Raw genomic sequence first — 16,301 nt, 5'->3', positions numbered from 1 at the left:
GTGTTTCACACAAGCACTCCTGCATCCTCAGAGCACCACTGAACCAATGTTACCAGAGGACAAAGTAAGGCTTGGAAAAATTACATGATGAGCCCAACAATACACAGCTAGGAAGAGAAAAGGAAGAAGAGCGAGGTCCAAAGACCCCAGCCTTAGCCAAGGAGAGGAGGCCTTGGCTCACGCAGCACCTCAGGAAGAGGAGCCTAGGCCCAGGCCCACCAAGACCATAGCACCCAGCAGTGGAAGGAGCTGTGAGAATCTCCAGGACTGCTAGGAGAGGACCTCATCCCCCCCTCCCCCCATGGCTTGAGGATACATTTTGTCTCCAAGAGGGAGCAGAGTACCTCTACCCCACTCTCCTCAGAAAAGTGGGCTGGGTGTGGTGGCTCACGCTTGTAATCCTAACACTTTGGAAGGCCAAGGCGGGAGGACTGCTTGAGCCCAGGAGTTCGAGACCAGCTTGGGCAACATAGTGAGACTCCATCTCTACAAAAAATTTAAAAATTAGCCAGGCATGGTGGCATGCCTGTAGTCCCAGCTACTCCGGAGGCTGAAGCAGGAGGGACACTTAAGCCTGGGAGGTTGAGGCTGCAGTGAGCCATGGTCACACCACTGTACTCCAGCCCGGGTAACAGAGTGAGAACCTGTCTCTGAAAATACCCCTCCTCACCTTGCTCCATCCTGGCCACAATAGCAAGCATTCTGCCAATCTCATCTCACGTAGTGGGGCTCATGGTGAAGCCTAGGCCACAGCAGGAGCTCAAGCCGCAGAGATGCTGAAAATCTCTGGTGGACTGGGGCGTTATACCTGAGACCCTGAGGGCTCTTCCTGCTGACTCACCATGATGCCAGCTTTAGGATTCCCTCGGGGCCTTGCATGCTATGGTGAATGGAGTGGGCAGTGGTTGAGGAGGTAAATGCCCTTAGGCCACACTCCCCATGCTGCGCCTGAATTTGCCCAGAAACTAGGGCGCGTCATGGGTTCTGTGTTCAATAAATCCCAGGATGGCAACTCAAAGCAAAATGGATATTAAAAACTCCGTAACTGGTGCCCAGGGACCCATGTTGCCCTCTGCACACCCTTGTCCACACTTCTATTATACCTGGGGCTCTGCCACTTACAAACGGTGTGACTTCGGGCAAATCTCCATCCCTGTGTGTGCCCCACTTTCTAGAACGGGGATGATAATGCAACCCTTCCATGGGTCGTGGTGAGAATTAAACCAGGGAAGGAATGCAGGGCTTGGCACACAGTATAGTTTCAACGAAAGCTGACTTTCTGACCCCTCTGTAATGTCCCAGCAAACAGAGCAAAAATGTAAGGCAAAAGATACCGCAGTAGGTGGCCAAAGGCTGGGCCAACTGAACCCTCCACCCGGAAAACCACACATGCCCTGGATTCACGCATCCATTGGCAACATGCACTGGGCTAACCAGGGCCAAGCCCCACATTGGAAGTTGGGGACAGAGGCTTAAGAGCCCTTGCCACTGCCTGCAGGACGTTCCCGGGCCTGTGGGAGGGGCATCTACTCAGTGGGGTCAGCGGCCTTGACGGAAGGCAGCAGCGGGCAGGGCAGGCCCCACGAGCTCCTAACCCACGCTGAGGCTGAGGCCCGGTGTCCTGAAGAAGCCGGCGCCGGAACTAAGTCTGAAAGGACAATAGATGACTAGGTGAAGCTGGAAGGAGTCTAGGCAGAGGACTGTCCACGCGCAAAAGTGCGGAAAGGAAAGAAAGCGGGCGAATGTGCTATGGAACACGAGGATGGGGGTGGTGTCTAAAGAAAAGTTAGGAGGGCATGGATGTCACAGGCAGGGCTGCGCAAAGACAACTCGCTGAAGTTGGCGATTGCATAGCCTAAACTAGAGGGAAATTCCTAGTCTCCGGGGTGCGCTCCAAGCCCGCCGCTGCAGAAACCTATTCCTCCAGCCCGGCGAGCAGAGGCGCAGCGACCGGCCCACATGCTCCTAGTGGGAGGCCGGTCCCTAGGCAACAGGCCCCGGCCCCGCCCGCAACTGCTGCCGTCGCGCCCTCTCCCGGCGGCGCCCTGCCAGGGCACCGGGGTCAGGGAATGACGGCTGGTTGCCTTCCAGAACATTATCCCGGCCATCTGGGATGAAGAGTGCTGCCCCTGGCGGCCAGTCTCTCGGCTTTCCATCCTTTTTCTGCCTGGACCTGGACGACCCCAAGCCCTCCAGGAACTGGGCTGGGCCAGCCAGTGAGGGAGAGGCTGGAGAGGCCAGCAGGCAGGTCCTTATTATTATTATTATTTTTGAGATGAGGTCTTGCTCTGTCACCCAGGCTGGAGTGCAGTGGTGTGATCACAGCTCACCGCAATCTCCACCTCCCAGGTTCAAGCGATTCTCCTGCCTCAGCCTCCCGAGTAGCTGGGATTACAGGTGTGAGCCACCATGTCCGGCTAATTTTTGTATTTTTAGTAGAGATGGGGTCTTGTCATGTTGGCTAGGCTGGTCTCGATCTCCTGACCTCAAGTGATCCGCCCACCTCGGCCTCCCAAAGTGCTGGGATTACAGGCGTGAGCCACCGTGTCCGGCCAGAGGGAGCAGGAAGGAGCCACGGAGGGCTTGTATGCAGAGCAGCAACATGAGCAGAACTGGTTTTTCAGTGCTCATGCTGTTGCTGCTGGAGGCCTGCCTGGAGGAGCTGGGCATTCAGGGATCATGGCTTGGGCTGCCTGGCAAAGCTGCGGGGAGCAGGGGTCTACCACCTACCAGGGGAAGTAACCGCAGTGAGCCCACAGGGGCAGGAAAGGGCAGGCTGGGTGCTCACAACTTGGGGTTCATACCGGGGAAAGGTAGGAAGGCAGGCCTTCCTGAAAACCAGTAAGCCAGGGGGCAGCACTGGGACAAGCCCCTGACCCCCAGTTGGTCTTTTCACCCCAGCAGGTGCCTCCAAGGCTCCAGGAAAGATGCCGACCAATTTCTGGAGATTCATCAGCTCACAGGCCTACAGGGGAAATGAGAAATCCTCCCATCCTGGAGTCGTGTGAGCATCAACCCCTCCAACAGGACATTACTCTTCTCCAAAGACCAAAGCCTCCTATCTCCCCACAGGCTAACTAAACAACCCATTTCCTTGCATTGGTCTGGAATAGTTGTGGTGTCCATGTGGCCACAGAGACTGTTTCATACTTCTGCGTGTGTGCTGACCAGAAACAGGAAAGCAGCTTTATTTGAGTAGTGCAACTTGGTTGGAAAATCTTTCAAAATGTGGAGTCTAAGATAAAACTTCAAGTGTTATGAAAAAGTAAGGTTACCAGCCAGGTGCGGTGGCTCACGCCTGTAATCCCAACACTTTCGGAGGCCGAGGCGGGCAGATCACAAGGTCAAGAGATCGAGACCATCCTGGCTAACATGGTGAAACCCTGTCTCTACTAAAAATACAAAAAAATAAATAAATAAAATAAAAATTAGCCGGACGTGGTGGTGGGCGCCTATAGTCCCAGCTACTCAGGAGGCTGAAGCAGGAGAATGGCGTGAATCCGGGAGGCGGAGCTTGCAGTGAGCCGAGATCGCACCACTGCACTCCAGCCTGGGCGACAGGGCGAGACTCCGTCTCAAAAAAAAAAAAGAAAAAAAGAAAAAGAAAAAGTAAGGTTACCAATCCAGCCCCACCCTGCTGTACTGGCAGGTCAGGGGTTCAGTTAGGGCATGGTGATTGATGTCAAGTGCAACCAAAAGGCATGTCTTCTCCCACCCTCTCAGGGTCCTGCAGCACTGTGGTCCCCAAGGGGAAGACCAGCACTGGGGTAAGTGATAGCTTCAGCCCCCAAGCCAGGGTAGTCCCAAATCACCGCATCATCCTGTCCAGGCTGACACCAGTGCTGACCTGCAGACCTCAGGCCTCAGCATGCGTGGTCTGCCCTGCTGAAAACACTCTTATGTCTGTATAGCAGTAACTGAAAAGTTCTTGTGACAGTGCCTGCCTCCAGTGCCTTCCAACAAAGCCCAGGCCCTAGGCCCCAGCCACCACACTGACGTAAGAGAATAGTTAGGGTATCACTTCTCAATGATCCCCCCACTACCTATCCCAGGACTTAGGAGGATGCCTGGACACCTCTGCCCACAGGCAAAAAAGGAAGTAAAGTTGACCTGTTCTCTTGGGTGCCAGCCCTTCCCTGGACAGAGAACAGGACACTGCCCTGACCATGGAATCCTTCACACCAGGTCCCCATCCTCCTCTGCATCCTTACTGGGAGTACTCATCTCTTTCTTCTCTGCCTAACTCATTATTGCCCCTTATGTTGTGGTTGAGGCCCTGACTCCTGCAGAAGGCTTTCTCTGACCACTCCCACAGCCTCCCTACCTCTCTGTTCTAGTATGAATCCCCTAAGACTCTCTGTCTCTCCCACTAGATGTCATGTTCCTCATGGGCAGAGCTGGGAACTGTCAAGTTCTGAATCTAGTAGAAACACAGGATGTTTTCTAAATGAAGGTATAAATGCAACCAATGGAAGAAGCCGAGGACCCTAAAACAGAATTGGTTCAAGTTCTGTTTTTTTAAATGCATGTTCCTATGCAGGGACTATGGAAGGAGCTGGAGGAAGGAAACTAAGACATCTTTACATTTTGTGTGTCTACATCAGATTTCCTTAAAAGGTCTCCATTGCTTAAAATAACAACAGTAATAATAAAGAAGTCTACTAGCCTGGCCCAATCCCCTCACTTGATAAAGAAAGGGGAGGTAGAACAGGGAGGGCAGGAACTAAAAATAGGAACTAAGCAAGTGCAGACAAGGCCAGCCACAGGCCACAAACCAAGGCCCCCAATCTCCCCAACTCAGGCTCCTGCCAACCCTACCTTCCACCAGGATCAAAGGGAGAATAAGCCTTCCACAAGGATTTCCATTGCTCATTTTATTTCAATAGCCAACTGTCCTCACAGAAGAAACTGTTCATGTCACAGGTGATCAGAAGCACCATTCTATTCCCTAGGGACTGCATCAGTGCTTATGAACAGCCTACTTTTTAAAGTTGGCAATCACTATAAAAACATCAAATAGTCAAACTAATAAATTTTTTAAAACCAGTGCCCATAATGGCTGAAACTTTATGGAGGGGGAATGAAGTAGCCCCAGCAGCCAGGATGCTTGCTAGTAAAACCCCTTAGAGGAGGGGCAAGGGGCTGTGGCCAGGAAGATGTGGGGGACAGAGCAGCAAGGCAGGATGCTGCAGAACCTGCTGTCAACGACCCTGGTCCTGGCTGCTGGCTCCAGCCACCTGGATGAACTGGAATCTTGATGTCTGTGGTGCCCCCAGCAACCTGGAGGACCAGGCAAAGGCAGCAGAAGGCTGAAATAGATGGTGCCTCCTGTCCTAGAGTGGGGCCTGAGGAAATCAAATACTGCCTCTGGGGCTTGTTCCAATAAATGGTAGTGTAACCCAAGGACAGTTAAATTCATTCCTAAATGGGAGCTTCTCCCAGCGCCCACTCCTCAGAGCCCTGGCCCTCCCCTGGTAATAGCTTCCTCCACACTCTTCTTCAACTGTACAGCGCAGGATTGAAACTTAGAAATTGCTCTCCTTCCTCCTATCTTAAACTGGGAATCAGTTGCCATCTATGCTATCAACCTCCTTCCTCCCTACATATCACTGAATGAAGACAAGAAAACTGTTGCTGTTGCCCCCCAGTGCCCCACTCTGCTGGCCAGGAGGGCGGGCCTGGGGCCTAGTCGGACTGCTCCTGAGACGATGGCTGGCTGGGCTCACCCGACAGTACCTCTGCATCCTGGTCATCTGTGAAGGACAAAGAAGGTAGCTGGATTTAGAAAGAGCGAAAATTACAACTACCTATTTGCAGATGAAGATTTTCTTTTTTCTTATTTTATTTTAATTTTTTTGAGACAGAGTCTCGCTCTGTCACCCAGGCTGGAGTGCAGTGGTGTAATCTCAGCTCACCGCAACCTCCACCTCCCAGGTTCAAGCAATTCTCCTGCCTCGGCCTCCTGAGTAGCTGGGATTACAGGCACCCGCCAACATGCCCAGTTAATTTTTGTATTTTTAGTAGAGACAGGGTTGCCCCATGTTGGCCAGGCTGGTCTTGAACTCCTGACCTCAGGTGATCCACCCACCTCACCCTCCCCAAAGTGCTGGGATCACAGGTGTGAGTCACTGTGCCCAGCCCAGATACAGATTTTCCATAAGCCTTTCTCATCATTCCCAGCCCTAGGGGAGAATGTATTTTCTTTAACTTGTTAGGCGCCAGGAGCCTGGAATCCTAGCCTTGGCCATGTGATTCAGATTCAAGTTCCAGCTCTTGCTCTGCTCGTCACAAGCTGGGAGGAATTAGCAAGATACTCCACAGCTCTGAACCTCAGCTTCCCCTTCTGTAAAATGAGACGTATCCACCTTGCAATGGCAGCATGGGCACTAAGTGAAACAGACAGTGATAGGCCACCTTCACCAATGCCTTCATCACTTCAGGTTCTGTTTAATCCTCAGAATCCTCATGAGGTAGGGACCATTATTAGTCTCCTTTTACACATGATGAAACTGGAGCACCAAAGAGTAAATGAGCTTGCTCAAGTTACACAGCTGGGCAAGTGCTGGAGCCAGGACTCACACCCAGGCCACCCAGCACTGGGGCCAGTGGTTTTCAGCCACATGAAACCACCTCTCCAGCTACTGGATCTAGGCACTGCACACACAGGAAGTGTGCAACAGGCCTCAGTTTCCTCTTCAGTAAAATGGTGATACCACCAGACTCCTCTAGCTCATAAGATGGTCTGACAGTCATTTTAAAGGCCTAGTTGAGTTTGTCAGTTCTTTCCAAATCATAGGAGCCCCAGGGGAAGACTGAAAGGAAAAATGTCCTAGAAGCTTTAAAGCTGCAAGGGCCCTCAAAAGAAAACCCAAAACATTTTCACATCCAAAAGTTTCTTCGACCCTCACAGTAACCTAGTAAGGGGGCCCCTTTTATAGTTGAAAAGCCTCAGTGCCCAGGATCATCCAGTGCCCCAGTGGCAGAGCTTGTGAAGGACAGATTCTCTAGCTCCTGGTCTGGTTCCCTCAGAGTGGCCTGGGGCAGAGGCACAGCCCCACCACACGGGTTCCTGCTGCTGCTCCAGTCTCTCCATCTGCTCCCCTACCCCAGCTAGAGAGGCCTGGCACCTCTGGTCTTCCAAACACACCATATGCCTGCTGTCTTCCACAGCACCGCCCACGAGCCAATAAGGTGAGTGAACAGGCACTAGACTGGGAGCTAGACTGAAAAACTCTGTTCAAATCCCAGCTCTGCCATTTATACCCAAGAGAACTGCTGGAGGCCCTGGTTTCCTCACCTGGAATCCCATTCCCACCTCCCTTAGATGTGTGCCTATGGGGACTGGAGGAAGGGTGTAAGAAGGAGCTCATTCTAGGGCTCAACACCCTTTAAATTCCATGTCCCTTCTCTCCACACCTAACCTTTCTTCAGATTAGGTACCTCTTCCTCCAGAAAGTCTCCCTGGCTCTCGCTGAAGCTGGAAGACTGGAGCTCACTCACCAGTGTTCTCCTTGTCAGTATCAAACAGGACGGTCAGTGAGAAAGATGATGGAGGTGGTGGTGGCGGTGGCGGGGGGAGGAAGTGGAGCGCAGAGAGGTAGCCTGGCGGGAGGAACTGGGGCTGCGGTGGAAGCGGTGGAAGGGGCGGCAGTGGCGGCGGCGGCGGCGGCAGGTAGTAGCTTGGCTGGAAGTCTCCTCCTGGTTCTGACACCTGCACGGCACACACAGCAGAGAGGCGGAGAGGAGAGAGAGTTAGCCAGATGGGCTGACCAAACATAGCTCTCACCCCTGAAGTGGGGGGCTCCTGATGGGGTAGATGCACGGCCCCAAACACACAGGCACAGGGCATTTGGAAGGGGGCATTCAGCAAACACCTGCCAAATTATTGAAGGCAAGAAGGAACACAGGCAACCTCAGATAAGCATGGGAACAGCTGAACGGTCACAGTGACAGAGCCCTTCTGTATATGCCAGGGCGATTGTGCTTGGGTGCTCAGAATCCTAGGCGGTGGGTTCTATTACTATTCTTGCTGTAATTATGAAAAACAGGTTCAGTGAGATGAAGCTACAGGCCCAGGGCCGCAGAGCTGCTTTGTGGTTAAGGGGCAGAACTGGATCCCAAGTTGGCTGACTCCATAGCCCACTCAGCTGACTTCTGTCCAGCGCTGCTCTGCACTGGGGAAGGGTCTGAACGCATCCCAACCCCACAGGACCCCCTGTCTGGCACATGTGGTGACTTAAACTCAAGTGCCAGGGGGGCCTTTGGGAGAAGAGGTTGGCAATGTGGGTGTAGCGCAGCTGTTTCTGAGGCAAGATACACTGGGTGACTTCAGGCAAGTGGCCTCACTGATGAACATTTTGCTGCTTCTGTCCCTTCTTCAAGGGATGGAATCCAACCCCTTACCACAGCACAGGGCCCCATCAGAGGATCTGGAGAGGGGATGACTGCACAACTCAGAGCTTAACCAAGAAACACACAAATGTCGTAAGAAATAATACTGAGTTTTGGATGTAGTTCCTGTCATTCACTTCTCTATCCAGATGCTTCAGAGCAACACATCCTGAGCTGAGTTTCATGGAGTCCTGGTGTCCTACAAAGTATTTTTTAGTACTCTTAAAAGTGTTCTTTGTTAAGTGAGTTTGAGAAACCCCATATACTGCTCCCCACATTAGTGGGTCACACATGAGCATATTAAAGGCTTGGAAGAGTCTGCAAAAATCTCCTTAGATTAACCCAGCACTTCCTAACTTCGTTCAACCAGCAGGAAGGGAAGAAATCTCACTTTTAAGTACCTACTATGTGCCAGACCCTGTGCTAGGTATTTTACATGCATCGCCTTATCTATTCTCAGGAGCCCTAATAGATAGGTCCTCTCACTCCCATTTTACAGACCAAGACCCGAGTGAGGTCCTCAGAGGTCAGATAACTGCCACGGGTCACGTGGCTGGGACACGACGGGGGAGGCAGAATTGGACCCTAGGTCTGCCCACCTCCAGGGCCAGTGCTGTCCTGTGAACAGGAGGGCAGAGGAAGCCAAGCAGCAGCAGGTGGGCAGGGACAGGAACAGGAAGGAGGAAACTGTTCTGGAGAGCACCTCCAAGCCTTGGCAGGGGGCAGCAGGACAAGGATGAAAGTGATTCAGGGGCTCTTGGGTTTGAAACAGCTCACAAATCAATGCCTGATTCTCTCTCCAGACTTGAGAGGGTGGAAGAGGGATTATTAGTGCTTTAATTCCAAGCTTCTCAGCCAAGCATCTCCCTGGATCACAGCTCCTGCCTGGGGCCTGTGGTGGCAGCTCAGGCCCAGATAAACCGACTGAGATCACACTCTTAACAAAGGCCGTCTGGCAGGCCTGTCAATCAGAGCGCTGCCCTGGACGCCAGGCTCCAGACTTCTGTGTGAGCAGACGGAACGTGCTTTACTTGGCCAGAGCCCCTCTCTTTGTGTGGAGGCTGGAGATGCCTGGCTCTCCCTGGGCAGTGCCCACAGATGTCAGGCAGGCAGCAGTGCTGGTGTGAGTCAAGGGCCATGTGTGTTCTACCTCTGTGGGAGGGAGGGAAGGGCAGTGGAAAGCACCTGGGCTCCAGAGTCAGGGCGACTGAGGTGCACGACCCGGCTCTGTCACCAACCAGCTGTGTAACTGGAATCCCAGTCTCTCTCTCACCAGTTTTGTGACCCTGGCCAAAAACTTAACTTCTCTGAGCCTTTTTTTCTCGATGCTACAATGGGGTATAATACCTGCCTTGAAGGTTCAATAGACACCCTGGAATTATCAAGGCCAGTGGCTTTCAAACTTTCTTCCCTTGAATCAGTGGAAAATGATTTTTAAGCACAATCTCACAACATCTAAGATAAGTGGAAGAGAAGCTGCTGCCGCCAGGCTGAAGCAGGAGTGAGGACCCAGTGACCTGTGTGCCCAACCTGCCCGGGTGAAGCTCGAGCCCCATTGGACTGGCTCCACACTGTGCAGCTAATGACTTTCATTAAGGAGAGAGGGGGCTTTTAGCCATCCTAGTCTGGAAGGAGCTGGTAATCAAGGCCATAAAACTCAATCACACCTGCCTCGTAGTACACACCACAGGGATGACCTGACTTTACACACTCGCTCTCAAAATTCCCAGCTTACAGAGAATACCAGCTAACGACTGACCTTTATTAATCTTATAAAAGGATTAAATTTCATTCTTTCAACAGGTATTTCCTAAGGTGTCAAGTGTTTGGGGGAAGGTTTCCGTATTTTTCATGACTCCGCTCAAATGCCACCTCCTCCTGAAAGCCCTCTGCAGTCTCAAGTGTGCTATACCTGTGGGCAGGGAGCCTACCTCTGGTCCTGGCTCTGCCCTAAATTTTGTGGTCCCAGGAAGGTGATATGCCCTTTCTGGAGTCCAGCAAAATGAAGGGCCCTTCTAGCATCAGCATCAGTCAAGGAAGGGGTCATCCTGAACGCTCAGAGCCTTTCAGCCCACTGCCCTGAAAAGCACAGGCCATAGCCCAAGCCGAGTGGTGCAGACTGGTCCACACGTGTGCTCCCAGAGACACACACACTGTGCCTGGGCAGTGCCTAGTCCTCCACCAGCACTCGGGGGCTGGCATGGCGTGGGCACAGTTTATGACAGCTGGCTTCCTGGGACTGAGGATCCATCAAGGCAGCAGGGGCAGACTGGGTGGAGGAAGCTGGCAAGAAGTGAGGGGTGGGACTCACCAAGCCTCCGCCTTGGTACTGGCTGCGGGACACATGCCGGAAGCCCTGCTGCAGGGGGACGCCAGGAGGGGCGTCCAGGTAGCCCAGCGGGAACGGGCAGTAGGGGTGCATGCTGGAGCCACCAGGGTACTCAGGGCCCAGTGCACGGTCCGGGTTGATGTTCAGAGGGCGCACTAAAGAACGCAAGCAAGGAGGGAAGTGTTAGACACCGCTGGGAAAAGCATCCGCAGGGCGGCCCAGGGCGGCGGGGTCATCAGCGCTGCCGTCCAAGCACAGAAAGCCCACCCCGCACTTCCTTCCGCTGGGCCCTCACTGCATCTCCATCCTCCAGCCAGCCCCACTGCTCTTGGAAAGTCCTCAGCACGGCCATCAAGCCCGCTGTGGGCCGGGGCCGCCTCCAGACCTCCCCGCTGCCCCACACACCGTCAGCCCGCACTCTGCCTCTCTGAGGCCTCAGTGCCGAGCTCCTCCTCCTCCTCCGGGTCACAGTGAACCCGGCCATGGCTCAAGCCCTGGACACTGATTTGTGTGACTCTTTGATCAACCCTGTCCCTCCCACAAGGACAAGGTCCTTGAGGGCAAGAAATGTGACCCGCGTCCTCCATCACGAATGCCTGGCTCATGGTTCGGCTCAGCCCTGCTTGTCTGTTGAGATGGAAAAAAGAAAGGTGGCTTCTCCTAGATCTGCAGTTTCAGGCCTGTGACCCTGTCAGATGGGACGTTCCCTGGGGACCTAGATTTTCCTGGAAAGTCAGGGGGGCGGGACGAGCCTGCGGGAGCCTCCGGACCAGTGCCCTGGCACACAGAGGGCAGGAGCTTGTCCAGCGTGACCCGGGCCCCCGCCTCGGCCTGAGCCCGTCCCACCACACCACCACGGGGGAGACACCAGGAAAACGCGTCCGCACCAAACCCCGGGGCTTCTAAAGCTTCAAATGTACATGTGACTTGAAACTACTTCAATACCAAAAGCTCCAAGGCACAGGGAACAATGTAATTTATGTACAAGGTGAAGGGAGAAAAGAAAGGCAACATCTTTACTGACCAACTGTTCTCGTGTGTGGAGTAAAGAAGCAGGCTCCCCTCACCTGCACGTGGGGAAACGGAGGGAAGAGGTGCGCAGGCGCACTGGGCCAGGGCGGAGCTGAGGGGAGGAGCCTCCCGACCGCGAACCGGGAGGGAAGAGTGCGCAGGCGTCCTTGCGCTAACGTGCCGGCAGGAAAATTCTGTTATTCTGGAGGAGGAGCCTCCAGCCCAAGGAAATGGCGGGAAGAGGTGCGCAAGAGCAGTAGGACTCGGCTCCTCGAAGCCTCCCCCGGAGGAGGAAGCACTGCTAAGTCGACTGGACGCCATTTTGTTCTTGCATGCCGGAATGGCACAAACTACAGCTAAATGTTAAAAGCCCTCTGAACCGCCCATTCCTTTCTGTTTCTCGTTTCCTTTTTGCGAAAAGTTACCCAATCCAAATCCCTGTTCGAAGAAGGGTTTCTCAAAGCGGAAGGTCCGTTACCCGTGGAAAAACTTCTCTCCACCCCGAACCCCTATGCCAGCTCCCCATCCGGGCTGGCCTGGGCTGCCAGCTCCGGGAGTCGACCGCGGGACCAAGGCCACGACTTACCAAAGTCGGTGAACAGTGGGCCGGGCACGGTCCGCATCGGCCTGCGCAGGTCTAGGGGGCCAGGGTAGCCACTGCCTGCGGCCTCCGCCCCAAAAGGGGGTCCCGCAAGGCTGGGCATCGCCACGGCGGCTCGCTCGCTCGGCTCCACGTGGCTGCGGCCGCCCAGAACCGGCTGGAGGGCTCTCGGGCCGGGGTTCCGGCCCCGCGGGGGCTGCTCGAAGAAGCAAGCGGCCGCGCGGCCCTCGGGTCCCGGGTCGGCGTCTCCGGAGGGAGTCCCCGGGGACAGCGGGCGGAGGCTCGCGGCCGGGACGGGGACGGGGGCGGGGGCGGCGGCCGCAGCCCCGGAGGCCTGCTTGGGCCCCTGCGCACACAGGGCCGCCTCCTGCTCCTCCTCGGCGGCCTGCGTCTTGAGCACCTTCTGCGCGGCCATGATCTTCTGGCGCTCGGAGATCAGGTAGCACTTCTCGCAGAGGCACTGCTTCCAGCGGCATTTGCCCGCGTGTCCCTTGACGGGCACCAGGAAGCCATGGTTCCTGCATCTCGAGCACTTGGGGGTGCGCACCATTTTGTCGGCCATTGGCAGGGTCAGCCTTCGTAACACAACCACCACCTCTGGGAGCTGCAGAGCAAGTGGCGCTGGGATGAGCCGCGCCCCACAAGTCCCTCGTTCTGGGGACATTGGATACACTTGTAACAAAGCGGCTCGCAGTGTGTCCCGGGAACTGCAGCAGGAACCTTGCATTTTCCCTCCTTTTGGGGGGTGCACAGTTTGGAGAGTTTCTGTGCTTTGGGTAATTAGATGCAATGGATTGGGTTGAATAAATTCTTCATGGGATGCTATTGCATGTATGTCATTTAGCTTATCTGAAGTCTTAGGCATGTAATTTTCCAAACTCTGTTCCCGCCACCGACGGAAGGTATTTGTAACTTTATGAAAGGCGGAGTGATATTCAACGGTCCACAAATTTAAAACTCGGGAGGAATGTAGCTCTCGGTGTAGAAAAATACTGTAAGAGGCAAACTGTATTTCTTCTCCCCAAAGCTGCTCCTTCTGTGGCAGTTCACTTCTCTGCCCTGCAGAGATGCTTCCAGGATATTCCAGAATATTCTCAAGAGTTCAGTGCAGTGTGATGGTTGCTCAAGGGTATGCCCTTACAGTAATTCCCGTTTCTTGAGAGTCTTGATGTAGGAATGCATTTCTGGATGTTGATGCCTTCCAAAGTGAGCATACTTAGAATATTTTAAAGTAAAATAGACAGAATATTGTAGCACTAAGCCTGGCATAGTGTCCTGTGCCTGTAGCCCTAGCTACTCGTGAGGATCACTTGAGCCCAGTAGTTGGAGACCAACCTGAGCAACATAGCGAGACTCCTCTTTCTAAAAAATTAAATAAAAAATTCTGCAAGACCCCTCTTTCTAAAAAATTAAATTAAAAAAAATTTCTAGCACTAGCTTCAGTGATTGCTTAACCTCATCATGAACTTCGTTATCCTTGTAAAACAACCCAAATCTTGGGACATCTGAAAAGTTAGCACAAACGTCATAGTTTACCCGAGGGCATTAATTGTTTTTTTTTGTTTTTTTTTTTTTTTTTGAGACAGAGTCTTGCTTTGTCACCCAGGCTGTAGTGCAGTGGCAGGATCTTGGCTCACTGCAACCTCCGCCTCCCAGGTTCAAGCGATTCTCCTGCCTCAGCCTCCTGAGTAGCTTGGATTACAGGCGCCCGCCACCATGCCCAGCTAATTTTTGTATTTTTAGTAGAGACGGGGTTTTCGCCATGTTGGCCAGGCTGGTCTTGAACTCCCGATCTCAGGTGATCCACCGGCCTCGGCCTCCCAATGTGCTGGGATTACGGGCGTGAGCCACCGCGTCCGGCCATTAATTCATTTTTTAAAAACAAATTTGTGACACCCTGAGGCATCTCTCTCTCTCTCTCTCTCTCTCTCTCTCTCTCTCTGTCTCTCTCTCCCGCCCCTCCCCCCCACCACCCCACTGCCTCCATTTCCCTCCCCTCCCCTCTCCTCCCTTCTTTGTCCAAAAAAAGGAAAAAATGGGCCACTAACAAGCTGAAAAGCTTCTAATTAGATCAGTCGCATTTAAGGAGGTAGTTACAGTTAATATGTGGCTAAAACTTGTGCATTTTTCATTGCTCTTTCTTTGAATTTCTCTCTTTCTGTTGGTAGAATGGGAGAAGCCCACGCCTGGTGTCCACCTTGATTTTCCTGAGTCCGTGATTGTAGTTGTACCTTGCGTTTCTCACTAGCTGCCTGGGAATAGGAAATGGTTACCATTGGGGGGCTTATTAGATCTGGAAAGCGAAAAAAGGTTTTAAAGTCTTTTTCTGCTTTAAAAAAAATCATCTTAATAAGAAAGTAAAAGTAGTAAAAAGTTTCCTGTGTTACTTGGCTTGTTAGGACTTCACTGGTTGCTCTGCATCCATTTAAGGAGGACTAGGTTTGTTTCTGCTTTGCTCTAACAACCTCTCACTTAAGTTTTTATTTTAAAAATATGATTAGTGGGCCGGGTGCAGTGGCTCACGCCTGTAATCCTAATACTTTAGGAGGCTGAGGCAGGTGGATCACCGGAAGTCACAAGTTCAAGACCAGCCTGGTTAACATGGTGAAACCTCGTCTCTACTTAAAAAAAATACAAAAATTAGCTGGCCATGGTGGCGGGCGCCTGTAGTCCCAGCTACTCGGGAGGCTGAGGCAGGAGAATCAGTTGAACCCGGGAGGCAGAGGTTGCAGTGAGCCGAGATCGTGCCATTGCACTCCAACCTGGGCAACAGAGCGAGACTCTGTCTCAAGAAGAATCATATATATATATGATTAGTGGCCGGTTGCAGTGGCTCATGCCTATCATCCCAACACTTCAGGATGCCGCGGCAGGAGGATAGCTTGAGCTGAGGAGTTCCAGACCAGCCTGGGAAGCATGGCGAAACATGTCTCTACAAAAATTAGCCAGGGATGGTGACTTGCGTGCCTGTACTCAAGAGGATCGCTTGAGCCCAGAACGTCGAGGCTGCAGTGAGCCGTGTTTGTGCCACTGCACTCCAGCCTGGGTGACAAAGCAAGTCCCTGTCGAAAAAAAAATAAAAAAATAGTTAAAGGACAGGCAAGCTCTTTTTCTGACTCTACCCAATAAAAAATGTATAGCGTTTTTCACTGACCTTGTCTTTTGAAAATGTCACTTAAAAATCATAGTTTCAGTACTGCTGTCGAAAAATCTGGGGCACAAGCTGCATTGTTTCATGACACTGCAAATTGTATTGTTATTTTCTGCATTATCAAATTTAAATTTGAACATCAGGTGACATCGGATAATAAGGCCTAAAAACGAAAACTACTCATTCATATTTCATGCTTGACCACCCAAGCTCTCACTTTCTCATTAATATTAATAATTTAAAGGAAAATTTTCTTCAAAGCAAGCTATTTGAGTTAACATACGTTAGCCTTGTTAACTACAAAATGCTTCCATATTCACTTCATAGCTTCAGAGGCAAAATATACCCAAGGTGATGTGAATTTGCATAGTGCTTTGAGAACGTTAATAAACAACCATATATTTAATCAGTAGTCATGTTTTAAGATGCAGGGTTTACACAGTAAACAAATCTACGAAGAAAAATACTAGTTTATTTCTTTCCCCCAAAAGTCTCAATTTGCGTAGGTAAATTTCAACAGAGTTTTATTTATCTCATTCTTGGAAATTCAGGCAAATTAATAGTTTTGTTCTGTTTAGGTTGATGGCTAATTACTTCTTAGACTGCTGCTTTAAAAAAAAGATATATATACAAACACATTTCTTTAAACTGGGTTTTGTTTGTTTGTTTGTTTGTTTTTTGAGACAGGGTCTGGCTTCATAACCCAGGCTGGAGTGCAGTGGCATGGTCTCTGCTCACTGCTACCTCTGCCTTCTGGGCTCAGGTTACCTGCCCACTTAAGCCTCCCGAGTAGCTGGGACAACAGGCACACACCACCA

At 52.1% G+C, this 16,301-nt stretch overlaps 1 protein-coding gene across 1 annotated transcript, besides 3 other annotated features; it reads right to left on the bottom strand.

Annotated features, from left to right (window-relative positions):
- Positions 2,107–2,644: an enhancer, noted in NCBI's record as "H3K4me1 hESC enhancer chr1:53935377-53935914 (GRCh37/hg19 assembly coordinates)". NCBI's record gives its function as "activates a minimal SCP1, AML or CMV promoter by ChIP-STARR-seq in naive H9 embryonic stem cells {active_cell/tissue: H9 hESC(naive)}" and the evidence as "EXISTENCE:reporter gene assay evidence [ECO:0000049][PMID:30033119]".
- Positions 2,645–3,184: an enhancer, noted in NCBI's record as "H3K4me1 hESC enhancer chr1:53934837-53935376 (GRCh37/hg19 assembly coordinates)". NCBI's record gives its function as "activates a minimal SCP1, AML or CMV promoter by ChIP-STARR-seq in naive H9 embryonic stem cells {active_cell/tissue: H9 hESC(naive)}" and the evidence as "EXISTENCE:reporter gene assay evidence [ECO:0000049][PMID:30033119]".
- Positions 4,860–12,949, bottom strand: DMRTB1 (DMRT like family B with proline rich C-terminal 1). Its single transcript, NM_033067.3, has 4 exons — positions 12,318–12,949; positions 10,703–10,875; positions 7,501–7,711; positions 4,860–5,753 (listed from the first exon to the last, which is right to left on the bottom strand). The coding sequence occupies exons 1-4, from the start codon at positions 12,892–12,894 to the stop codon at positions 5,686–5,688; spliced, it is 1,029 nt and encodes a 342-aa protein (NP_149056.1). The 5' UTR covers positions 12,895–12,949; the 3' UTR covers positions 4,860–5,685.
- Positions 8,915–9,443: an enhancer, noted in NCBI's record as "H3K4me1 hESC enhancer chr1:53928578-53929106 (GRCh37/hg19 assembly coordinates)". NCBI's record gives its function as "activates a minimal SCP1, AML or CMV promoter by ChIP-STARR-seq in naive H9 embryonic stem cells {active_cell/tissue: H9 hESC(naive)}" and the evidence as "EXISTENCE:reporter gene assay evidence [ECO:0000049][PMID:30033119]".
- Positions 12,950–16,301: the final 3,352 nt, after the last annotated feature.

Source organism: Homo sapiens, chromosome 1 (genome assembly GCF_000001405.40).
Source record: "Homo sapiens chromosome 1, GRCh38.p14 Primary Assembly".
Lineage (NCBI taxonomy): Eukaryota > Metazoa > Chordata > Mammalia > Primates > Hominidae > Homo > Homo sapiens.
This window is presented reverse-complemented; position numbering and strand designations above follow the sequence as displayed.